Below are 26179 nucleotides of genomic sequence, written 5' to 3'. Positions count from 1 at the left end.
AGGGTTTTCATAGCGGAGGGCTGGGTAGGGAGCATAGGGTCGGCCTGTTGGTGCTGGGCACCTCCTAGAGGTCGGGGCCGCGGAGGGCTGCGGGCCTAGGGCCTAATGACAAGAAGGGACCAGTCTTGTCGGAGCCTCGCAGCCCCTGCGAGGCGGGTGAAAGGCAGCGCCTGAGCGAAGCCGCAAGCGGGAGACTTCGGAGACGCTCCCGGCTCCCTCTAGCGGTGGCCGCGCGAGTGGCGCGGCGCGAGCGCGATCCCCTCGGGGTGGGAGGAGACCAGAGAGGCAGGTGGCGGTTGCCGGTCCGGGAATCTGGGCCAGTCCGCCTTCCTCCAAGGCATCAGAGGGGAGGGATTTCAAGGGTCCTCAAAGGTTCCCCTTCTTAAGCAATGCATAGCACCCATCCTAGGAGCGTCCGTCCGTTCACTTGTATGTCTGTCCGAATGGAAGTGCCTCCTTGGGCCAGGTGCGGTGGCTCACGCCTATAATCCCAGCACTTTGGGAGGCCAAGGCGGGCAGATCACTTGAGGTCAGGAGTTGGAGACCAGCCTGGCCAACATGGTGAAACCTCGTCTCTACTAAAAAACAAAAAATTAGCCAGGCGTGGTGGCGCATGCCTGTAATCCCAGCTACTTGAGAGGCTGAGGCAGGAGAATCGCTTGAATCGGGGAGGCAGAGGTTGCAATGAGCTGAGGTAGCACCACTGCACTCCAGCCTGAGTGACAGAGTGAGACTCAACTATAAACAAACAAACAAACAAACAAATAAATAAAGGGCCTCCTTGGAGGCCCAACACATCAGGGACATCTCATCCACCGCTTACTCCTCCCAAGCCCAGCAGAGCAGGGAGGGTGGCGGAGCATTTGCCCAGTGTGCACGGCTAATGCCATCCCGTCCACGTGATCAAGTGGTACCTGGAAGAACCTGACAAGGCAGCTCCAGACTAAGGACAAGTCAACCCCTTTTCTAGCCTGTTTCCTCATGGTGAACTGACAGGGTGGGACTAGGTCAGTAGTTCCACCTTTTCACTCGGAAGAGCCCCATCACCCCGTTTTTTAGAGACAGGGTCTTGCTTTGTCACCCAGGCTGGAGTACAGTGGTGCCTCCACAGCTCACTGCAGCCTCGACCTCCTGGGCTCAAGTGATCCTCCTGCCTTGGCCTCCCAAAGTGCTGTGATTACCGGCGTAAGCCACCGCACCCGGCCCAGGGAGGCACTTCCATTCGGACAGACATACAAGCTAATGGACAGACGCTCCTAGGTGTGAGCCACTGCACCCGGCCAACTTTTACGTAATTTTAAAGAGAAGAAAAAAGTTCACATTCATGCAGTGGAATACTGTGCTGCTATTCCACATTCAATCTCCAAGACAGTATTTATTTATTTTTTTTTAGACGGAGTTTCGCTTTTGTTGCCCAGGCTGGAGTGCAATGGCGCAATCTCGGCTCACTGCAACCTCCACCTCCCGGGTTCAAGCTATTCTCCTGCCTTAGCTTCCTGAGTAGCTGGGATTACAGGCATGTGCCACCACGCCAGGCTAATTTTGTATTTTTAGTAGAGATGGGGTTTCTCCATGTTGGTCAGGCTGGTCTCGAACTCCTGACCTCAGGTGATCCACCCGCCTTGGCCTCCCAAAGTGCTGGGATTACAGGCATGAGCCACTGCGCCCGGCTGACGGTATTATTTTTAAAAAAGGAAGATGGACAGTACGTTTTATTTCACTTGTGAAAATGAAATATGTATATACATATAAATATTTTTTAATTTCTGGAAAAGTGTATGAAAAACTGGTTACTGGTTGGTTGTGGGAAACAGAATCAGATGGCTGGAGGGCAGGGGAGTGAGGGAAGCCTGTGGTTTCCTCTACACCCTTATTTTAGTTTAAAAAATTGTGTGTATATGTATTATCTATTTTGATAAATAATTCATTAAACATAACAGTATATACAGGTGTAACATATTCACGGAATCTCTTACCACTCCTGTCAGCACACAGTAGGCACTTAATAAGTGCTAGCTTTTTTTTGTTCTTTGTCTCTCCAGAGCATCCATTAATGATTTGTGTTCACCTGACCATCACCCCTTTACAGTGAGCTTAATTAGTAAGGTACAATGTTTGCTAAATGACCGAGACCAAGGAGAGGAAAGATGTTTCCAAGCTTTCATGGCGGCGAGGCTAAGGGTCTCTGTTACCACAGGAGATAGGGAAAGGTCTTCCTGTGCCAGGGCTGAAGTAGTGGGTACAGATTACAAGGGGCGGCTAGGGTGGGGTGAGGGGACAGATCTGGCATGGGAGTGGTGGCCTTTGACAGTCAGTGGGAGCGCAGAGCTGTCCAGGTGGCCCCCAGCCTCACCCTGCCCTGTGCCGAGGAGAGCGGGAACTCTGTTCAGCCTCCCAGGACCATGGCTGGGGGCATGAACTCAGTGCCCAGGGGCTGCCTGGAGACCCCCCTTGCTTTAGGCCCTGCAGTCCCAAGACCCAAGGGGCCCTCTTCTTCTTGGTCTCTAGTTAGAGAACTGTGGTCTTCTCATCTGGTGAGCTCCATATGGCACCAAGGGCACTTTGTGAGTGGGGCTCTGATCCCTGGAAGGTGCTGGGCGATGGGGAGGGAGTGGAGAGGAAGTGGTAGCCAGATAGCCCGGCATCCAGCAACCGTGCGTCCTAGCAGCCCATTCACATTTTTCTTTTCTCTTTCCTGTTTTTTTTTTTTTTTTTTTTGAGACAGTCTCACTCTGTTGTCCAGGCTGGAGTGCAGTGGCACGATCTCAGCTCACTGCAACCTCTGTTTCCCAGGTTCAAGCGATTCTTCTGCCTCAGCGTCCTGCGTAGCTGGGATTACAGGCACCCGCCACCTGGCTAATTTTTGTATTTTTAGTAGAAACAGGGTTTCTCCATGTTGGCCAGGCTGGTCTCGAACTCCTGATCTCAGGTGATCCACTCGCCTCGGCCTCCCAAAGTGCTGGGATTACAGCCATGAGCCACCACGCCTGGCCAGCCCACTCACATTTTTCAAGGGTGCACTACAGGCTTGAGGCCCGGGGGCTCAGAATTTGGGGATACAATACAGCTTCAGCAGTTGTTAGGTGAGGTGGCCCTGGGTCTTAAACCACCCATGTCCACTGTTGCCACTAGTAAAGACATTGAACATTTACCATGTGGCAGGTGCTCCACAAGCATGATCCTACTGAACCCTCACAAAGACCCAGGACAGTGTTTAGAACAAAAAAAATTTTCTTCCCAGGGATGGAAACTGTGGCTCAAAAACATTGTCTCTTTCTGGGTTCACAGAACTCACAAGTGGCCAGGCCAGCATTGGAAGCCAGCTCTGCCTGCCCGCACAGGCCTGGACGCCCAGCCACAACCTGGTGTCCCCTCTGCCCAGCTCTCGCCTTGGCTCTCAGTAAGTGCCTGGAGCTGGTCACCACGCCTTGAAGCTCCGCCCTTCTCCGTGGCCTCCAGTTCCTACCGCCCCACTGCCCCAAAGCTGTCTCACCTGCCTCTAGGCTCTGTACCTCCCTTCCAGTCCACTCAGCTTCCCAGGAGGTCCCCAAGTACCCCAGTGTCTGGGGACAGTGGTGGGCAGAGGGCCCCAGGGCCTCTCAGCTGGGCCCATGGCTGAGCGCTGTGGGGAGGCGGGCGCAGTGCACAGAGCTGATCCTAACCAAGTTTGCCAGCCCAGCTTTTCTCATGGCTCTCACACAATGGTCTGCTTTGTGCCCACCTGCCGATAATGCTTAATTAGGCGAGGAGGTGATTAATTTGAGGTAATTGACAGCTAATTAGAGGCCCACAGGCTCATTAACTTGACATCTTGTCTTCGTGAATTGGCTGAGTAGGGTCAGGTGATGCAAGCCGCTGCTTCTCCCTCCCCAGCTCTCCCGGCCCCTGTAGGCTGAGGCGATCACCTAGGGGAGGGCTGGGCCGACCCAGGAGTTCAGGTGGGGCAGTCCCAAGGCCAAGAGTAGAGGAAGCCAAGGCAGTGAGGGAGGAAGGGTCCGGATGGAGGTGTCTGCCCTGACCTTAAGAGGGAGAGAGTGGGCAGGGAGTGAGGGCTTGTGGGTACTTCAGCAAAGACACGTAAGAGAAGTGGGGTATTAACAGGGCCGGAGGGCGGGAGGGAGAGCTGGTGTCCATGAAGGGAGGAGGGATGAGGGGAAGCAGGTGAGTGGGGCAGCCTGTTGGAACTAAGCATAGGCTGTGAGGTGACACAGACCTGGGGCTGGATCCTAGCTCTGCTACTAACCAGCTAGGTGACTGTGAACCAGTGATTTAATCGCTAAACCTCAGGCTTCTCCGCTGTAGAATGGGAATAATAATGGTACCTGCCTCAGGAGGTTGTCATGAAGAGTCCATGAAGCACCGAAGTAAAGGACAAATCTGTGAATTGAATGAGCAGGGTCAGGCTGAGCAGGATTTGTACCCGGGGGCCTGATGAGTGCTCAATCAAATGTTAACTAGTCCATTAAAATTTTTTAAAATAAAAAGTTAACTATTCTTGGTGGCAGGAAGGAGTGACAAGAAGAGAGAGTGATTGGGTGGAATGGGCCCCAGTGCTGTGGGGAGGCAATGGCAACCCCCTCCCAAGATAAGCCACCGTTACCCTGCAGGACACCTGCAGGCCTGATCACAGTGGCCTGGTGGAAGGTGTGGGGAAAAGACCTTCTTGTTGTTGCCATCTCTTTTGGGCACGGGGCATGCAATTCAGCAATATATATTAAAGTTTAAAATGCATGTGGTCTTTGACCCAGCAATTCCCCTGCTAGTGATATATCCACAGATACCTAAACACAAGGGTATCTGCTCATCACCACATAGTTCGTAGTAGCAGAAGACAGGAAATGACCTGAATGTCCATCACAGGGCCTGGCTAGGTAACTGAAGGCACATCCATATAGTGGAATAGTATGTAGCTGTTACATCTCTAGGTACCAATATGAACAAGATCCAAGATAAAAAAAAAAGCAAGCTGCAGAACAGGTGTAGTTTCCACAAGCTGTTAACTAGTGGTCTGAGGGTTATGGGATGGCAAGAAGATGTATTTTTTCATAATCTGTTCATTTTAAATATAGTTTGTATTTACTACCTTTTCAAAAAGTATTTAAAAAGTCATACTTTTTTTTCCCAAATGAAATCTAACTTGAAATCTGAATTTATAGGCAAAGTGCCTCTGGTTGAACTGGGGGTGGGGGCCCAGTCCTACCCACCTATTTCCTTCCTCCCCTCCGCTACAGGCTCCAAGAGGATCACCTGGAATCCATCATTGTCCACTGGAACTTTCTATGATGATGGAAATGCATGCAGTTCTGCACTGTCGAATACAGTGGTAGTCAGTAGCCATAAGTGGCTACTGAGCACTCAAAATGTGCCTAGCGCAACTAAGAAACTGAATTTATTTTATTTTATTTTATTTTAAAAATAAAGGCTAGTCTCAAACTCCCAACCGCAGGTAATCTGCCCGCCTCAGTCTCCCAAAGTGCTGGGATCACAGGTGTGAGCCACTGCGCCCGGCCTGAAGATCCTTTCTAACAGAATCAGAATTGCACTGATCGGAAGCATGTCAGAGATGCTGGTAGCTCTCTTGGAATCCCAGTTATTTTAGGAAGGAGTGCCTGAATGATCCATGAGTGAAAAAGCCTATCTTTGGCTTTAAGATCAGTGGCCAGTTCCATCTGGGAAGAATTTAAGTGATGAGTTAGGTCACTGGAGGCATCCATTTGGCAACTGTACAATGAACATCTATGATAGGTCAGGCTCTGGAGAAACAGAAACACACATCTGGTCCTCGCTCTTGAGGAGCCCCCAGTCTGGGGACTGATTTCTCAGTAAAGGGTGGGTAGACAAAGGTGCTCCCTCGAAGGAGAGCCCAAGGGTGCAGCATCTGGGCTTGGAGTTTGACTGACAGCCCTCCCCCACATTGAGGTCACGGTGAGTGAGGGCACAGGACAGGGCCCTCCAGCCCTTATGCTCAGTCACTGGTGGAGCATGAGTGGCAGCTGCCAAAGGGACATGTTGACCATCTTCTGTCCTTCTTTCTGACTTCATAGCTTTGAACCCAGGGTGAGTCTGGGATCCTCTAGATTCCCCTATGCTATTGCCCCAAATAGCTTCCATGGGGTGGTTTGAAACATAAAAACCATCAGCTTTCATCAACACTTCCCTCTAGAGGCTCAGAGAACCTTAATTTCTTTTAAGGCACAGCTTACCTAAAGTGTGCAGCCACTAACTGCACAGCTCGATGAATGTTTACACACATACCCTCCTGTGTTAACCAGCACTCAGATCAAGACAGAGAATATTTCCAAAACCCCAGAAGGCTCCCCGGGCCCCTTTTCAGTTAATACCTCCAAGGTTACTACTATTTAGACTTCTATCACATAGATTAGTTCTGCCTGTTCTAGAATTTCATACAGATGGAGTCATACGGTATGTGCCCTTCATTCGTGTTTGGGAGATTCATCCATATTACTGTGTGAAGCGGCATGGTAGTTTGTTCATTCTTTATTGCCAGTTGGCATTCCACATAGAATATACAATCTATCCATTCTCCTGCTGATGGCCTTTGTTCCCCAGTTTTTTACTTGAATGAATAAAGTTGCTATTGTTTTCACACGTGTCTTTTGGTGTCAACTCATTTTTGTTGGGTATAAGTGGAATAGGCAAAGGTATATTCTTTGAATTCTTTTTTTTTTTTTTTTTTTTGAGACAGTCTCACTCTGTTGCCCAGGCTGGAGTGCAGTAGCACAATCATGACTTTCTGCAGCCTCAAACTCCTGGGTTCAAGTGGTTCTCCTGCCTCTGCCTCCCAAGTAGCTGGGACTACAGGTGTGCACCACCATGCCTGACTAATTTAATTTTGGAGAGATGAGGTTTCACTATATTGCCCAGGCTGGTCTTGAACTCCTGGCCCCAAGTGATCCTCCTGCCTCAACTTCCCAAGGTAATGGGATTACAGGTGTGAGCATCATGCTTGCCACCCCCTGTCTTTTTTTTTGACAGCGTCTCACTCTGTGGCCCAGGCTGGAGTGCAATGCTGCCACCATAGCTCACTGCAGCCTTGAACTCCTGGGCTCAAGCCATCCTTCCGGCACTGCCTCCTGAGCAGCAGGGACTACAGGGATGTACCACTGCGCTGGCTAATTTTATTTAATTAAAAACATTTTTTTTGTAGAGATGGGGTCTCACTATGTTGCCCAAGCTAGTCTCTAGCTCCTGGACTCAAGTAATCCTCCTGCCTCAGCCTCCCAACATGCCGGGATTACTGGTGTGAACCAACGCATCTGGGACACTTGATCCTTTCGACAACCTGGTGAAGTAGTTATTTTCCCCCTTTAACGGAAAAGGAAACTAAGTTCAATAAGGGTAACAATCCTATCCAAGGCCACACCCCAAAGCTATTAAGTAGCAGAAACCACATTAAAACTAGAGTGATCAACGGTCACATGGTCAAGACTGTTATTCCTCCCAGGAAACCCCTGAGTTCCAAGCAAATCAGACGGCTAGTCACCCCAATTCAAACCCGACTGGACTCAAAAATGGAGCTTTTTTTTTGTTTTTTGTTTTTGTTTTTGAGATGGAGTCTCGCTCTGTCACCCAGGCTGGAGTGCAGTGGTGCGATCTCAGCTCATTACAAGCTCCGTCTCCCGGGTTCACGTCATTCTCCTGCCTCAGCCTCCCGAGTAGCTGGGACTACAGGTGCCTGCCACCACGCCCGGCTAATTTTTTGTATTTTTAGTAGAGACGGGGTTTCACTGTGTTAGCCAGGATGGTCTCGATCTCCTGACCTTGTGATCCACCCACCTCAGCCTCCCAAAGTGCTGGGATTACAGGCATGAGCCACCGTGCCCGGCCCCAAAAGTGAGCTCTTAATCATCAGGCTGGGATTTCCTCTGGCCTAAAATTTCACCAGACAGCACATGGTGTTAACATAGACTCAAGGCAGAATATTTTGTCTTCAAAACACTCTTGTGATATAAGGATTTTACTTGTTTTTGTTTTATTTTGAAGAAAGTGATTTCATTTAAAGTAGATCTGAGTTAGGTAAGAATAAAATTATTTATATGAAAAGAATTTTCTAACACATTAATCCATCAAACAAGGATTTATTCAGCACCCATGAGCTGAAAAGAAGTTTAAGGCAGTCCTTGACTTCAAGAAATTAATCATTTACTTAGGGAGCTAAGAGTAAAGCTTAAGGAATAAAATTAGAGGATAATAAACAGTAATAATAATCACCCCATATGTGAGTACTTACTGTGCCCAAGGGGCTTTACCGAGTCTAATTTAATCTTTACAACACAGCTGTGAGATATGTTCTGCTGTTATGCTCATTTCAGACGAGGAAACCAAGACTTGGTGAAGTGAAGTGATTTGGTCAAGGAAAAAAATCATTGAGCTGTTCACTTAAGATTTGTAGATTTAATATAAATGAGTTACGCTCTGATAAATCTTTATTGAATGGGAAACCCTTGAAAATACGGACATTTTTTGCTTTCTCTGCTCTTGAATTTCCTATTCCCCAATAATTTAGTGCAAAATGTTAAAGATGTATTTTGGCTTGTTTCATTTTAGGAAAATAGCAGGTCGGGTCAAAATGGCGCTTTTAGCCTTAATGGCTTGGGTGCAAATAGGCATAGCTTGTGACTGTGAAATCAGAGGTCCTGGGTTGCAGAGGGGTCCTGGAGCTGACACAGGCCAATGGGCCAGTACAACCTGCTTGGTTCCCCAGCTGCATGAACTGTTGGCCCCATGGTCAGTCCTGACCAGAAATGCACAAGGGTATTTGTCCCCTGGGTCCTCAAGGTCAGCTCCTCTGTCTCCCTCCAACACACCCCAAACCTTATCATATCCCTCAACCTCCTGACCCTGCCACCCATCTCTGCTTTTCAGGTTTGCAGGCCCCCACCCAGAGGCACCTTCATCATTCCTCCCTGACGTGTCGACTTTCATTTTCCTAGGACGAGTCTCATTTGACAGTCTCCTGCCCATATTTCTAAGCTCTCTGGGTCTCGTTGTGCTATTTCTCTGTCCTCTCTGGGGTTTGTAACACCAATCATCTGCAGGTTTCATTAGCATGCTGTTTACCCCTGTCTTTCAGATCATTAATGAAGATGTGAAGTGAGACACCAATCCTCACAGCCCCCACCACGTGCTCCCTCCCATGCCTGGCGCTGCTGGAGTCATTATCCTTCCTGGTGTGACAGGGTCAGAACCAAACCAATTTGCATCAGTCTTTGGTGATGTTGTGAAGCGTCGCCTGCCCTGCAATCCTGCTGCTGTAACAACTGCTTCAGCTGTCTGTTCTGGAGTGCTCTTCGCTCCTTTGGAAGACTGATCAGATCTGGCCACCCCAGTTCTGGCTGAAAGCCCTAGAGCGACCGCAATGGTAGGGCAGGATTCAGGGCTACACATGGCTGACATTGTTCCTTCTTCGTTTTGCTCTTCTGAGCTGGACAGAAAGCAGTCCCTCTTTGGAAAACAGGATGGACAAGTGCATACATTAGTGGAGGACGCAGCAGATGTGGCAGGCATAGAATTTTACTCATTGCTCCATCTATTTCTATCAAGGAAAATGGGGAGTGCTCCCAATTTCCGCCCATTTTCTAGCCCAGGCCTAGTCAGATGTGTGGGCTTGTATATTCTGGGAACCTGGGGCTGATGTGGTCAAGTCACTTCTTGGGGACAAGGTCAATTCTTCTCCATTTTCTCATGTCATTTGGTCCTGAGGGTTTTATATCTTCTTTAGCAATTCCATGACTATGCTTCTCATCCTGCAGGGAAACTGACTTTATATACACACTTGTCTCCCAATAAAAGTGAGAACCACCTCCTACATATCCCTTGTGTCTTCCAGACTCCAACTCAGATGAAATGCACTTCCTTCTCTTTCCTGATTGTGCAGCGCCTCCAACTGGTTGTTTGTGATGAAAACATGAGTATAATTACAGACTCTTCTCTGACCCATTTCTACTCCTGACCCCCAACTCATCTTTTCTTCCTTCTCTCCAATTGGGAAGGGGAAGGGAAGCAAGGAGAAAGTAGCGAAGGAAACTCTCGCAAACACATCTGAAGTAAGATGCTGCATGTCCAAGAGCTGGGGGAAACTTAACGCTACGACTCTACAGCAAAGTTAGGTGAGACATATTTTCTCAGGGTAGGTAAGGAAAGACTGAGGAAAAAGATAGCTATTTGGCAACACTGAACACCTACTGACTGAATGATTTTTTTCTGCTCCTGGGCAAAGGCTCTGAGGAGTGTGGGGAGAGATGGGACTGTCATGAATAGGGAACAAGTTTTTTTTTTCCACATTACATGCAATGAGGTAGAGATCCTAGGGTATAGCTGGATGCTTATTAGGTGCTCAGTAAACACTTATTGGTGTACAGATTGATATACATTTGCATACTAAAGAACAAATTTCATTACCATATACAAAGGTTATCGATGAACTATGTATGTATGCACATGTGTGCAGGATAACAGGCTGAGCTGAGAAGCAGGGCTTTTAAAATCTGTATATCCGGCCCCAGAGGCTTTTTTCTCCCTGTATTATAAAATCAATACCTGTTTCCGTAGAGAGTTTGGAAAATGTAGAAGAAAACAACAATACCCCATATTCCTCCAACCAGGCAGCAAGCACTATTACCACCTTCGCCTATTGCCTTCCATTCACCACCCCACTGTAATTGTTATATCTGGCCATTTCACTTATCCTTATGACAAAACCATTTCTTCCATGATATCATAACCTCTTTGCAAACACACCAAATGGCTGCATGGCAGTTCGCTACGGGAATGTACCATGATTTACTCAACAGCTGCACATCTGAACAGCCTTTGGGCCACTTGAAGGCAGAGGCAGCAGCAGCAGAGGTGGATGGCGGGAAGTAGGAGGCCAAGGTGAAGCAGCTCGCAGGACCTTGCTTCCCCATGAGCCCCCCGACCACCATTCCTCAGAGATCATTTCTGGTTCCAATCCTCACATATCCTTCATGGGTCCTGCCACAGCCAGCACTTCTCATTTCTACTCAGCCTCAAGTCACTGACTTTCCCAACTTGACTCTTCTCAGCTGCTCCTTTGTGTGAAGTCACTGGCTCAGGCCAGCTTGGCTCCTGGGGCTTGGCTGCGTCCAGAAAGGCCCTGGGATGTGACCTTCAGCCTCGCTTGACCCTGAGGCCTCAGGCTGCAGTCAGGCGAGGGTCTCTCCATGGGCTCCCAGAGAAGGCAAAGCCCAGAGGAGGCTGCTGCGGGAGCAGAAGCCTGAGTGGACCCTGCTTAGTCCTGGAAAGGGACCTGACAGGTTTGCGAGAACCTGACAAATCTCACACCATAGAAAACTATCTGGCCCAGGCACAGTGGCTCATCCCAATACTTTGGGAGGCGGAGGTGGGCGGATCACTTGAGCCCAGGAGTTCGAGACCAGCCTGGGCAACATGGCGAAACCCCATCTCTGCAAAAAATACAAAAATTAGCCAGATGTGGTGGCACGTGCTTGTGGTCCCAACTACTTTGGAGGCTGAGGCAGGAGGACTGCTTGAGCCCAGAAGGCAGAGGTTGCAGCGAGCTGAGATCGTGCCACTGCACTCTAGCCTTGGTGACAGAGGGAGACCCTGTCTCACCAAAAAAAGGAAGGAAGGAAGGGAGGGAGGGAGGGAGGCAGGGAGGGGGGAGGGGGAGGAGTGGGGGAAGGAGGGAAGGGAAGGGAAGGGAAAGGAAAAAGAAAACTATCTGGAGGAATGTGGAGGACTGGTGGGTTAGGGGTAGGAGGTTATGACTGAATCAAACAGGGAAGTGTGTTCCTGTGCAGTGATTGGAAAAGCATGGATGCTCAGAAAATACTAGGACTACAAAGATTAGCAAAGTACAGTGATTTGAGGCTTATGTATGCCAAGTTCAGTATCAGTTCAGAAACTTGCCAATGTCACAAAGTATACCTTTCCCTCCCTTGCTTAATGCCACTGTCTGTAGAGTCAACAATGGTTTCTACTGAGTGTCCATGCTGGCACAGGGCCTCAGTGGGTGGAAGGATGGGGGTAGGAGAAATAGTAAACTGTCAGCTCTTCTGAAGGGTTACAGAAATGGTATTCTGCTTAACTGACTAGTCAAGGTAACCAGAAGTTACTATATTTTCCCTATAGGGATTGCCAATGTTTTTTTTGTTTGTCGTTTGTTTTTGTGTGAGACAGTCTCACTCTGTCACCCAGTGTGGAGTGCAGTGGTGCAATCTCAGATCACTGCAACTTCTGCCTCCCAGGTTCAAGCAATTCCCTTCCCTCAGCCTCCTGAGTAGCTGGGAGTACAGGCACCTGCCACCCTGCACAGCTAAATTTTTTTGTATTTTTTCATTTTTTTTTTATAGTAGAGACGGGGTTTTGCCATGTTGGCCAGGCTGGTCTTGAACTCCTGACTTCAAGTGATCCACCCGCCTCAGCCTCCCAAAGTGCTGGGATTACAGGTGTGAGCCACCATGTCCGGCCTAGGGATTGTCAATTTTTAACAAATGTGAGTATAATAAAAAATTAAATACTACATGGAATCTGTTTTATAGATCTATCCATCAAGCAATTATATACGTAATGGGTAAGATATGCCATGCACCATTCTCAACACTTTGCAATACTCGTTTAATCTCTACAGCTACCCTAGTAGTTAGGTGCTATTTGCACCCAGGCAGCCTGACTTCAGAGCCTGTGCCCTTATCCATGATGCTGATATGACTCTTTAAAGTGGAAAAAGTCCTAAGGAAACCAAGGCTTAGAGAGAAGTAACTTACACAAGATCACCCCTGCCTCTCTCTCAAAATCCAAGCACTTACTATATCTTAGACCAGCAATGAGGCTATGAACACCGAATGTCAAGGCACAGTTCATTCTTTCAACAAATGCTTATTTTAGCACCTATTATGTGCCAGGTAGTTCTGTTTATAACCAAAGAAACTGTAGGAAATTGAACAAATTTGGATCAATTCTTTGGCATGTCCCAAAAGTTATTTTTAAAAGTCAAATCTTATCATTATCCTCTCTGTGCCTCAGAAAACTGAAGGTAGAAAAACAATGCAACTCTGATTACTTGAGTTTTTTGGCTCCTCAGATTCTACATAACTGAATCTCCTTTGGTATTGGAGGTCACTTTCAGAAACATCAGGTATAGAGATCGAGACAGAAAGCAGAGGGCAAGAGAGAGATGAAAATATGTGAGCCCAATTCTGCTCCGAACTTGGGTTTAATTGAGATTCCAACTGCCACTCTCCCCTGCATTCCTTTGTCCCTGGCTATGACCAAGTTTACGGCTGTATCGCCCCAAGTAATCCCCGTAATGGGCTGCAATCCTGGGGGAGCTGTTTTTGTTCATTAAGTGACCAACCTCTGAGCCACATGGAGCGCGGCCAGTTACAGCTTCTTGCCCTGGCAGATGGGCCACTTTTCTGTTTTAAAAAAACAGGGATCTTTCAGGAGAGAGGAGATAGTAGGCAGGGGTTGGGGACACAATCAGGGACATAAAGGTGATGGGTGCTAGAAATGAAGGCCAGAGTGAGGGGGGCAGTGGGTGCCCCTTCCAGGTCATGCAGTCTTCTAGGGCAGAATTCACTCACGTGCTGTGTGTTAGCTTTCTTTGCAATGGTAACTATAGTTGTGTAGGGCTTACAGTTTGTGAAGGGCTCAATGTAGTTCCTGGAGTGATGCTACCAGTCTGCAGAGGTGGGAGGAGTGAGGGGGCCATAGACAGGAGGCAGCGAATGAACAGAGTAGGGCAAATAGCTGAGAGGGGGCTTCCCCTGAGGGTCAGAAATTCTCAGTGCTTCAGACTCCAGCTCAAGTGACAGGGGCCAGGCTGTGCCAAGAGCAGTTCTCTCAAGCCAACTGACTCTTACCTCTCTGCCCACAGCCCCAGTGTCTGCTTCTTGAAGTTGGGGAAACATTGCAGCAGCTGCTTGTTGGGAGACCCGTCCCCTCACTGCACTGCCCCACCCCCTCCCCGCCACCTGCCCCACCACCCCATGTCTGTCCTCTGGGTAGAGTTGTGTGAAGCGGAAGACAATTTGGGGCTTATTAGTGTCCCAGGGAGACATGTAACTTGTGTTGCTGGGACCCAAACAGCAAGAGTCTTAGCGGCAAACTCCAGCCGAGAAAAGACTGAGGAATTGTCTCACCTAATTACAGGGAATGGCCCTCTTTGTGTTTGTGATTCGGTACGGTTGTCCGATCGCTTTTGATCGCTTTTCTCTATTTGCTGGCTCAGGCCATGCTGGAATTGTGCTAATTAGAAGAGAAATGGACAGAGTGATCCTGTCAGCCCTGGTTACTGGTGGGGACAAAGCAGAATATTATTCTGAGGCAGTGTTTTGTGAGGGCCCTTCTTCCAGCTCTCATTAGGAGGAAGGGGCCCACAGGAGGGGAAGGTTCCAAATGCCTGGCCCAGCTAATGGAGCACTGGGGTGTTTCTGTGCTAATTAACAGGCTTTGCCAGCACTCACGCCAACCAGGAGCCTCACAGTTACACCTGGTATCGTCTGAAGCCCCCAGCTGCTCGAGAGGAAAAAGCGCCAGGCAAAGGGTGGGAAGGCCAGTGGCCTCTTTAGGCATAGACAAGGACACACACCCCAAATGCCAAAAAGCCTACATAGATAGGAAAAATCAGTTCCAGTCCATCAGAACTTACAACCGTGGAGACACCACCCTTTGCCACTCTCTGGGGTTGGGGGTTGCAAGACTCTCTGGTGAAACAAAGCCCACATAGGGACCAGGTATCCTTGTAGCTCTCACGAGATGAAGAAAACAGAAAATGGAGAACATAACCAAATTCTTGGAGACGGAGTTAGTGCAGAAGCTGAGAACTGGTAAGAGACTGTGTTATTTGGCTTCTGCGACCATCCACCTTGGCCCAACTGTCCATTTCCTCACTTCCTGCTCTGCCTGTTCACCTTCTTGTGATGTCTTAATCCTGGAGGAAACAGGAGGGGTCAGGGAATCCCACTGGAAATGAAATTTCTCGGCTTCATTTCAAAGCTCCTGTGGAAGTCCAAACACACTTCTGAAGCCACAGGGACAAGGGAATGACTTTCATCAGTTCCATTTTCACTGCCTTGATCTGGGAGCATCCAGAAGAGCAGCTAGAGAACTAAAACCACGGAGCAGTTAGCAAGCATCCATTTAAAAAATATGACAAAAATGGAAAGATAAAAATGAATGATGGCATTTCAATATCAACACAATTAATACCCTGTGAACTTTAAGTGTTCTAACCTATGGAAGGCAGGCCAAGCAAATCAGCAGAGGCCTAGAATCTGTGAGACTGAAGACAGCAAGAAATAATGAGAGTGCTGGTAAGAAAAAAATGTCAATAAGAATTTGCAAATGTGTCTCCAAGCTCCAATACTATGCTTTTCAGAATGTTGCTGCTCACAGCTGACAGATGCTTTACAGGATGGTATTTGGAATGGCAAAGGAAAAGGGAAAAAATATCTGTAGGCAAATAATAAACAATTACTTACCGTAAAAATAGTCTCTAAAGACTTAGAACACTCCTAACACTGTCCCTACTTAGTCAATCAGCCATGCTTTTCTAGATCACAGAAATCTACTGTTCATCCAGATGTCTTTTTTGGAAATAAATGATGGGCCTATGATGAGAAGCAATTTGCTTTCCTTAAAATGAAATGCTTTCTTTAAAAGGGCATATTCTGGTCCAGAGCAGGTAAACTATCAATGAGTGATAGCAGTAGCAATAATGAGTACTTCCTCTTTTCTAGTTCTTGAACATGGTTGAAAAGGAACCCACACTAAGGGATTTAGAAGATGGCAGATAAATACTTGTTTTCAATCTATCATGTGTAACCAGAAGCCTGCAAGCAAACAGGTTTTGAACCCCTAGTTCAAAGACACTGAAGAACTAGATGTGCAGGAGACAGCTATACCTTGAGAAGCTTTGAATTTAGTAGGGCAATAAGATATGTACTCAGTGTCAGGCGTAGTGGCTCACACCTGTAATCCCAGCACTTTGGGAGGCCGAGGCGGGAGGATCACTTGAGGCCAGGAGTTCGAGACCAGCCTGGCCAACTTGGCAAAAACCCGTCTCTACTAAAAATACAAAAATTAGCTGGGCGTGGTGGCATGCACCTGTAATCCCAGCTACTAGGGTGGCTGAGGCAGAGAATCGCTTGAACCCGGGAGGCAGAGGTTGCAGTGAGCCAAAATTGCACCACTGCACTCCAGCCTGGGCAACAGAGTGAGACTCTGTCTCAAAAAGAAAAAGTACTCAGACCACTTAAATATAAGGCAGACTATGGTAAGAGTCACAGGGATGATATGGGTAAATGCTATAGGAATGTAGGGGAAGGACCATTTCCAGCTGGATCATCAGGAGATTATAGGAAGCATAGGTTTGCCAGATGCAAAAGGGATCCAAGACCTTCTAGGAACTCAAAGGCAGGAGCAAAGGCACTCAAGTGAGAAACTGGGAACTGTTCAGAGTAACTGCAACAGAGACTTCATATATAGGAGAGGAAGAAAACGAAACGGAAGGGTTGCTTAGGATTACATGTAGAGAGTCTTAAAATGCCGGGTCAAGAGATTGAGACTTTATTAGTAGACACGGGAAGGTATTAAGGGTTTCTAAATACTACTTTCGGGTGTTGGGCAGTGGTAGGATAGAATGGAAGGCAGGAGACCAAGTAGATGACTGTAAAGCCCCCAACTATCCATTAAGTATATTAAGGGGGAAAACAGTAGATTATTTATCATTACAGTTGTACTTTCTGGGGAGGTCTGTGCTTTAAATATCCAACTCGGCCCTCTGAGGAAAAACTCACCCTCCTGTAAAAGGGACATATTTATTATGAAGACACAAAAACCATCACATACAAAGTACAATACTATAACATCCTGAAATACATATACACACATACTGTACATAAATTTATATTATCAATATAAAAATACATCATTAACATTTCTAAGGATGACAAATACTAAACCAATAAATATTGCAATTCTAAAACATCTACTTACATTAAGTGCTGGTGAATAGGATGACGGTAAAAGAAAGAGGACAAAGCGGACCAGAAAACCAACCACCTGGCTTCCAGTTACAGACTTGAGTTGGTTTGGGGGAGGTATCCCAATCAATTTCCCCAAACACTGAAAAGTGCCTGATGTCATCAACTCTCAAAAACAGAGCAAAGGAAGAATTTGACATTATGGCACTATTTTTTGGCCACATGCGCGCGCGCACACACACACACACACTCTTCAACCGCATTTAGTGAGATACAGAAATATCAATCGATAATAAGTTTAAATTAAAATCAAAGCCCCTACAACCTAACCTTCTATGTAGCACCCCAGCAGAATGTTTTACTTCTCATACTCATCTTTCCTATCTTGTGTTAAGTCTTTTTTCCTTTCAATAAGTAAAACTACATTGATGGTCAAATGAGAGAAAAATCCAGCATTAATTCTAGCATGAGAACAAGGCACAAATGTCAGAAAAGGTTTAATGGATCAGCTGTTAAACTGAAGAGTGCCATGCCCTAGCAAACACTCACGACTCAAAACCATAACTTTTCTTGTGTCCAAACACCATCAGACTATTGCCACAGGGATATTCTTTTTTTTTTTTTTTTTTTTTTTTTTTTTCTGAGACAGAGTCTCACTCTGTTGCCCAGGCTGGAGTGCAGTGGCATAATTTCGGCTCACTGCAACCTCCACCTCCCGAATTCAAGCGATTCTCGTGCCTCAGGCCCCCAAGTAGCTGGGACTATAGGCATGCACCATCATGCCCAGCTAATTTTTGTATTTTAGTAGAGACAGGGTTTCACCATATTGGCCAGGATGGTCTCGATCTTTTGACCTATGATCCACCTGCCTCGGCCTCCCAAAGTGCTGGGATTACAGGCGTGAGCCACCATGCCCGGCCCCAGGATATTCTTTTGTGCAAAGTTTAGGAAACTCCATGCACTTCTCAAAACATCAGATGCTGGGGACTGGCTTATACAAGAAATATGGAGAACACATATAATAGATTTTAGCCATGGGCTAGATTTTCAGATTTTAACAGAGACAGATAAGTGGTGAAGAACTCCATGAAAGTTGTATTTAAGTCAGAAGATTCTTTTTCGTGTGTGTGCGTTTCTATTATATAGATGAACTATTTCATATGTGCTGTCAGAGGGGACAATCCCACCATCCCATAGCATGTTACTTTAAGGTCAATTAGGGCTTCTAGCTTTCAACCAAATGGGAACTCCTATAAACCATCCCGTTTCTCTTGTCTTTCAGGCTATACTGACTTTCTTGCTTGAAGCTGTAACAGATTAATTAGAACTCAAAAGTCCTTTCTGTCACCTTCACATTGGTCTTTAGACAACCTTGGATGGGCCTTTCACTATACAAGCTAATTCCAGGAGGGACTCAGGGATCCCTCTGCCCGAAGTCAGAACTAGAAGGTGGGGCTGGGAAGTAAGGAATGAAAAGCAAATGGGACTATCATAAGAGGTATAGAAGTTTTAAAAAACAGATATACATTTCGAGAAGATTCTGGTTTCTTCAGCTGGGGATTCTGGGAACTTAGTATATACTGGAGAGTTCACAGGTCAGGCTGCATGGTCTGGTCCAGAATCTACTTGGTCTCTGGTCTCCTCACATCGTAAACACTTTCTAAGAGATCAAGAACAATTCAAAAGAACCCATCCAATCAACATGTCACAACTGACTGCCATGACTGAGTCAAATCAACCGTAAGATCCTGGGGCTCCTGAATCACTTCCAGAAATGAGAAAGCAGGACTTCGACCTTTAAGAATGATATGCCCTCAGCTGTTACCAATATCCGAGGCTAAGAAGGTTCAAGTCTGAAAGTTGATTGAGTAACTGCAATGATCCTTGGGTAGAGCAGATTCTTCTCTTGCTGCTGAATGTCCTCAGACGTGTAGAGTGCCAGGAGCAGGGGAGAGGGCAGTCCTGGAGGTACACCCTCTGGCCTCTCCCAAGCAAGCAGTGAGGTGTGCATTGTTAGAGGTGCACCGGGAAGGGAGCTTGGTTTCGGACCCCAGGACATCCTGTCCGCAAGCAGCTGCTACTTCTTGGGCTTCTCTAGAATATTGAGGAATTTCCCCCGTGTCATCTCTCTGGCTGGAATCACAAAGCAAACAAATGATCAATGAAAACCTAAAATCGGAAAAAAGAATCATAGGAAGATTTAATTTAAAAATGCAGATTGATTTAAATTATATATCAAGTTGCTATCACAACAGATTCAATCATCACCAACTAACCTAAAAGGGGGTAAAAACAAACCACTATAGACAACTAAAACTGTACAAAGCTATTCTGAAGTTGGCAATTGAGATACATGCCAAATGACTGGGAAAGATTTTATCATCCACCTTTAAACAAATCACCAGGGGATTCCCCCAAAACCTATCTCTGTCTCTAGAATCTAACCTAATACTCATGTTCACTATCTCAGGGGGTTTGCTCTTGAAGCCTAAAATCCAACCAAGATTAGTCTTCTCTGGGTTGCTGGTCTCTGGACATTTATAATCTCAAATCAAAATTAGAGATCATTTACCCTATCTCTCAGCAGTGTTAGTCCCTGGATACTGTAATATAACAGGGTTTATATTCCCTCAGTGCAGTTCATCTGTGGATGGTGTCATAAAGTAGGGTTTATAGAGCTTTGGTCTTCTCTCCCTTGGCATTGTCAGTCCTTAGCTATTTAATATAGCCAGCCAAGGTTTATGTGTCTTTCTCCGGCTTTCAGCACCATCAATCTTTGAATGCTATAGTTACAAGTGGGTTTATACAGCTACTTTCCTACATATAAGGCTCCAAAATGAAAGTAAAACATTTCTCAATTACAAGGGCTACTCCAGAGGTCTCCCATTTTAGATCTCAGAAAGCATACGTAGTGTAACAGCCCCTTCCTCATCCTCATCCTCATCCTGCAAGGCCATGTTTTCAGATTTCTTAAATGGATTTAACAGTGCAGAAAGTTTCTGATCGCTGATGGCTGGCTCTGGAAGCCAGGCCTTCTGGAACCATGCAGTAGGCACGGGGTAGGCTGTGTGGTCTCCCAAGAACACATCTCCGTCCTGGCCAAAGAAGTGAGGTGGCTAGGGAGGCACTCTCAGGAATGAGAAGGACCTTCACCCTGGCCTCCTTGTTGCCTTTCCCAAGTCCAGAGCAAATGGAGCTAGATGAATGGCCTCCAGCTCCCCTCTGCCCCAATTTAAGTTTAACAGTTTCTTGTTTTCTTGTACAATGAAGAAATAAAAACTACACAACCTCTGGGACCACAGGGAGGCTTTTGTAACTTCAGTCTATACATTCCCCATCTTTCACTAGTTCCTGTGCCCCAACAAAGGGAAAGGAAATTCCATTAACTAGGCATAGAAGCCCAGTGTTGGGTCTTGCCTCATGTGCTCACAACCCCAACCCAGACCAAATCAAACAGACCATTCCTTCCTTCATGGATTTACAGCAAATCCTGTACAAGAAAGTTCCCATAAGACTTGCATGCAATTACTAGCTTATATGGTTGTCTTCCTCCACTAAAATGTAAAAACTGAAGGCAGAGACTGTTAAGAGCTTTGGTCTTCTCTCCCTTGGCAAAAGATCCACAATCAGATCCAAACTCCAGAGCACGTGCTCTCCTGTTCACTTGTCATCAGAGATGTTAACATTTCTGATTAATTCATATAGCCCTTATTTTATTCCTCATTTCTTTATCCTTGCTCTGCTGCACTGCGAAGATTCTTACCGACCTGCTACAGACTCAGCAGACCTAGTGTCTGCTGAGTAAGTGTTGACTGGATAAATTATAATACACCAAAGAACTAGAACCAAGTAGAAATGCAAAAAATGTTAGTTTCCTTCCTTTCCATTAACAAATATGACTAGTTAGTGGCCCTCAGTGCTCCATTCTCTACATGATGGGAGTCTTTTTAAATGTGCCTTGCTTATTTGGCAAGAAAATCATTTCCCTTAATGCAAATAATGCCAAGTTCATGGAGAGACTGGGGTCAAGGACTAACTACTCTAGAGAAAATCCAATCAAGTACTGTCTTGCCCATAGGAGGTAGCATGGGCTTCTTGCAGAGAACACAGGATTTGAACTCAGTTTAAGTTTCAGCTCTAGCACTTAGCAGCAGGGTGACACCTTGGGCTGGGCAGATCTCTGAGCCTCAGTCTCTTCATTTGTAACGGAGAGCATGTTAATACCCTACTTTTCTCTTGGATATTAGCAATGAACATGCTTGGTATAGTGCTAATCATTAACACAACACTTTCCAGAGGGGGGTAAGTTCTCTCGCACTTAGTATTTTCTGAGTGAGTGAATGAATGAATGAATGAATGAACAAACTGCACAAAGGGAGGCTAGCAAACAAAACTCCGTTCCTTGGAATCTTTTCCCTCAGCTTGAAGGAAAAGAAATTTACTTATACTTTTGGGCAGATTGGGTCTCACTTATTTCTACTAGATGGGTTATCTGTCTACTCTCAAGTTTAAACATGTAACTAATGATCCTGCAACATGGCTAGAAGCAGGAGCTCTGGAAACCAGACACGGTCAATACAAAAGTCTTCTGGAGAGAATAGAGCCTTGTTCCAAAAATCCTGGGCCTGGAGCACTGCATTGCTCTAACCAATGATTTCTGCCTGCTGACCTTCAGACTCACCAACTCCTTACTGTTTTTCCCCAAATGGGAAAATGACCAATATTTTAAGACTTAGAATTTTAAAAGATCCACACAATTTAAGGGGTCAAAAGGGTTTAAAAGGAAAAATAAATAGATATTCTGAAGTCTCTCAGTGGCAAGCTCTCCTTGAATTTAACCAATCCTTTTTAACAACCCTTTTTCTACTCAATCATTCCTCCCCCTTCAACCTAATCCAAGTACACAGAGCTGCAGGAAACCACTGTAAAAGTAGAAGTAATTCAAAAGACATCATCTCCTACATGGGAGGAGAGAAAGTTTTCCTACTCGCCAGTCCCATACAGGAGATATACGAATGTATGACACAGCCGCTCCCTAAAAGAGGGCTGTGCCCTATAAATCAGATGCTAAGCACCAACCCCTTTTTGTGCACAGAGAAATTGCTGTGGGTCAGGGGCTGCTCCAGAGCACGTGCCCTCCTGTTCACTTGTCATCAGAGATGTTAACATTTCTGATTAATTCATATAGCCCTTATTTTATTCCTCATTTCTTTATCCTTGCTCTGCTGCAGGGCGAAGATTCTTACCGACCTGCTACAGTAATCACCGCCCGCTAACCGAACCCCCCCAAACCTAGTGAAATTGTTTAGTGATGCCAACTGCGCTTTTAATTTGCAAGACATCAGACACAGAGGTAATTTATACTAACATCTGTTCATTTTTGACTTCTGAAACAAACTTGCACATACTGCTACAAAATCCCATTAGGAGTAGGGAGACAGCCTTCTGCTACTATTCTGTATTCCTCGTCTACACGCGCACACACACACACACACACATACACACACACACCCACACACACCTCTTCTAGTAGGGTCTTATAAATAAATGTATTTTACTCTTAGCTTTTTAAGCTCCCATCAGGAATTTCAAATCTCTTTGGGGAAAAATCTTTAGAGATGACTACTGCCTGCTTACAGAGAAGAGAAAGCCATTTCTATTCCCCACTGCCTGGTTCTGTCCCTTCTTCTTCACAATGGTTGTAGCTTGGTATAATTCTAGGATGAATGGCCAGAGTAAGACTACATGTTCTTCAGCTTGGCACTCCCAGTTCCTCCATTTTCTCCTTTTTCTTTGTTCCCCATAATGTATTATATTATATAGAAAACAATTCTAGACACAACAAGATTGGGAGAGAGAGAGTGTTATATAGAGTCAGTGAAATCTGTCAACTATTTTCTTTTTTTTTGAAACAGAGTCTCGCTCTTGTTGCCCAGGTTGGAGTGCAATGTTGCAATCTCAGCTCACTGCAACCTCTGCCTCCCCGGTTCAAGTGATTCTCCTGCCACAGTCTCTCAAGTAGCTGGGATTACAAGCATGCACCACCACACTTGGCTAATTCTTTGTATTTTTGGTACAGACAGGTTTTCACCATGTTGGCCAGGCTGGTCTCGGACTCCTGACCTCAGTTGATCTGCCCGCCTTGGCCTCCCAAAGTGCTAGGATTATAGGCATGAGCCACCTCGCCCAGCCTGTCAACTATTTTTTTGATTCTGGATTTATTCTCTAAGATTACAAGGTTTCACAGGAAGGCAACACCGCTTCCATTCTAATAACTATGCCAAGAGGGGCCCACTGGTCATCAGCTACTGGTGTATGCCGTGCAGGAGAGAAGCATGACCCCTATGTCAAGTCATGATTTACAGGCCCTATTATGTCGTACATAGATCACAAATTGAGAAAGCCACAATTGAAACTGTCACTATAGGGTTAACATGTGAAATGCTGCAGAGTGTGGAGAGGGGACTGGCTACTACACACTGAGAGACAGCAAATGGATAGACTACAATCAACTTTCAGGTTTCCACTGTTTCTGTTATCCCCCACCACTTTCGTAGTTCCTCCAGGGCTATCCAGTTCATGGCAGCTGTAAATACCTGGGTATACTTGGAGAGGTCAGGGCTGAAAGGAGGACTCCACTGTGCCTGCTCTGAAAGTGGTGTGTGGTTTAATATAATCTCTTCTTTAGACTCTCCAATTCCTCCATCCTACATTTAGCCTTGCTTCTGGCTCACTTTCCACGATAACTATCCCCAAACTGCCTTCTCTGCAGTAAATTTTTCTGGTGGCTGGTTGAAAAAGATTCAGTGGTACAGATTGATTTCTCACTGGTGAGGGATGAGGGATTACCAGAGGCACCCTGGTTAACGAGATTGGGTGCAGAACCTCTCTCAAGACCAGCCCTCTCTGCCAGGGCTCTGCACCTTTCCCCAATGACATATGGGTTTTATTACAGAAAGATTGTCCAGATTATAACTTTGAGGCAATTGCCTGATAAAATTCTGCTCAGCTTTTATGTAGGGAACAATGTAAATTTTAAGAAACTTTTTAATGAAGTGGAAGAAACTCATAGTTCAGTTTTTCAATTCCAATGCAAACTACTTTAAATATTTCTATGCCTCAACATAATTAAAAATGTTTGTGAAGCGGGGACAAATTACTTTCCACTGGGTTTCTCATATTCAGAAGAGCAATAACAGGTTGCTTTTAGGAGATTGTAATATGAGTGGCCAGGAAACAAAGGAGACAATGTAATATTGTGAAAAGAGCAGGACTTCAGCTCTTACATTGACCCTGGGCCACATAGGCAAATTACCAAGTTATTTTTCTGAGCTCCTTTCCTCATTCATTCAAGGTAGGATTAATACAAAGTCACACAGGCATTCAATAAATGCTAGCTACTGTAAAACTATTTGTTTCATTTCAAACAGAAAGTTTACTTAAGCAATAGGATGCCTGGTGGGAAAACTATCTAAGATTCATTTCTTTTAGAGTAACTTATCCCTACTTAAAGACATATTGCCCTACATGTAACAGCTATGTACAAGAGTTTAAAAACTGGTTGGTTTTAGAATGACACGTGAAAAACACCAAAATTCTCAAATTTAACAAGGTATGGAAGGATTTTTTTTTTTTTTATAAGAGACAAGGTCTCGTTCTGTCACCCAGGCTGGAGTGCAGTGGTGCAGCCATAGCTCACTGCAGCCTCAACCTCCTGGACTCAAGTGATCCTCCTGCCTCAGCCTCCTAAGTAGTTGTGACTACAGGCATGCAATACCTGGCTAATTTTTTTCTTTTTTTTTTTTTTGTGGAGACAGGATCTTGAACTACTAGCTTCAAGCATGGAAGGATTTTTTGTTATTGATTTTTATTAAATGATGAGGCAAAATAACTTAATGAAGTATAAAGATAAGAGCTGAATGAGCATGCCACTAATGGAGAAAGGGGGCATTGCCACAGAATCAGTATTTATCCCCATCTTATCTCCATCTGATGTTGATCAAAACATATCATTGGCCATTTAGTTTAAAAATAAAAAGGTAATATGCTTGTGCACAAATGCCAGTCACTTTATGCACAGTAAAGGAATGAGAAAGGGGTACACGAAAGGACAAAAAAAACCCTACACTTTTGTAGTCAGGATGGAATTCAACGGAGTTGTAGTTTTCTGAGAATGTATTCCTGGTCTGTGGGAATGGAGTTCTGCAGTAAAGAGCAGGTTCCCTTTGTAGTAGACACCTCCTGTCTGCTGCTGGAACATATCAATTGTATCCTCATTTCCAACTGTGCAGGTGTGTCTGTCTCATTAATTGGCTGCCCATCAAATTGGAATCTGATCTGCCTCATTGATATACTGTTGTTCACAACGAGCTTTCATTAGTCTACCAAGTGGTGTATGCCTCTTAATCTTAGACTGCACCACTGAACTATCCTACCCCTCCACCTTCAAATTAATATGACCACTGTTGGCTGGGCATGGTGGCTCATGCCTGTAATCCCAGCACTTTGGGAGGCCAAGGCAGGCGGACTACCTGAGGGGTCAGGAGTTCGAGACCAGCCTGGCCAACATGGTGAAACCTCATCTCTACTAAAAATACAAAAATTAGCTGGGCGTGGGGGCATGTGCCTGTAGTCCCAGCTACTCGGGAGGCTGAGGCAGGAGAATCGCTTGAACCCAGGAGGCAGAGGTTGCAGTGAGCCGAGATCATGCGACTGTAATCCAGCCTGGTCAACGGAGTGAGACTCTGTCTCAAAAAACAAAAAACAAAAACAAAAACAAAAAACAACCACTGTTCTCAGTCTTGCTTCCTTCCTTGGCCTTCTTGTCAGTCATGGTAAGCCGTGGAGTCTCCTTAGCTGCTGCTTTACAGGAGGTACCAGATCTACACCAAGTAAGCACATACATAGCACCAGGAGTGACAAAAGACCTATTTATTTCTAAAAAGATCTTCCAATGCAAGATAAATGGTAACACAAATGACTTGCATCTGTGTGAATGAAGGCATACTGTGGTGTATTAAGCCTGGCTGGAGTAATGTCGGGTACTAGGTGGAGCTACCTTCTTTAACTATACCAGTAGATACTTCTAGCCAAAAGGAACACATAAAATCCCAGTTTAGTGGCCGGGCGCGGTGGCTCACGCCTGTAATCCCAGCACTTTGGAAGGCCGAGGTGGGCAGATCACGAGG

The 26179-nt window shown here is 45.9% G+C and overlaps 1 protein-coding gene, 1 long non-coding RNA gene and 1 pseudogene across 5 annotated transcripts in view, besides 1 other annotated feature; 1 reads left to right on the top strand and 2 right to left on the bottom strand.

The window, feature by feature from the left end:
- The first annotated feature begins 281 nt into the window (after positions 1–281).
- LOC105370564 (uncharacterized) lies at positions 282–9185 on the top strand. Of its 3 annotated transcripts, none has more exons than XR_944025.3 (3): positions 282–466; positions 3289–3400; positions 9095–9185. It is a non-coding gene; the product is annotated as an uncharacterized LOC105370564 (long non-coding RNA). The 3 variants fall into 3 exon arrangements; XR_944026.3 differs by lacking the exon at positions 282–466 and adding an exon at positions 710–1007; XR_001750823.2 differs by lacking the exons at positions 282–466; positions 9095–9185 and adding exons at positions 710–1007; positions 5232–5440.
- Positions 15673–15873: a silencer, noted in NCBI's record as "peak2199 fragment used in MPRA reporter construct". NCBI's record gives its function as "represses an SCP1 promoter by STARR-seq MPRAs in K562 erythroleukemia cells {active_cell/tissue: K562}" and the evidence as "EXISTENCE:reporter gene assay evidence [ECO:0000049][PMID:32103011]".
- The window catches only part of LIN52 (lin-52 DREAM MuvB core complex component), a 116538-nt gene continuing 106911 nt past the window's right edge, over positions 16553–26179 (bottom strand). For both annotated transcript variants that reach the window (NM_001024674.3, NM_001372006.1), the window contains exon 6: positions 16553–19124. In NM_001024674.3, coding sequence (NP_001019845.2) covers positions 19069–19124 — 56 coding nt within the window. In that variant the 3' untranslated portion in view covers positions 16553–19068. The remainder of the gene's footprint in view (positions 19125–26179) is intronic.
- LOC112268141 (small ubiquitin-related modifier 2-like) lies at positions 24769–26150 on the bottom strand (annotated as a pseudogene).

This window comes from Homo sapiens, chromosome 14 (genome assembly GCF_000001405.40).
Source record: "Homo sapiens chromosome 14, GRCh38.p14 Primary Assembly".
NCBI classification, from domain to species: Eukaryota; Metazoa; Chordata; class Mammalia; order Primates; family Hominidae; genus Homo; species Homo sapiens.
The sequence above is the reverse complement of the archived record's forward strand: the minus strand, read 5'-3'. Positions and strand labels throughout refer to the sequence as shown.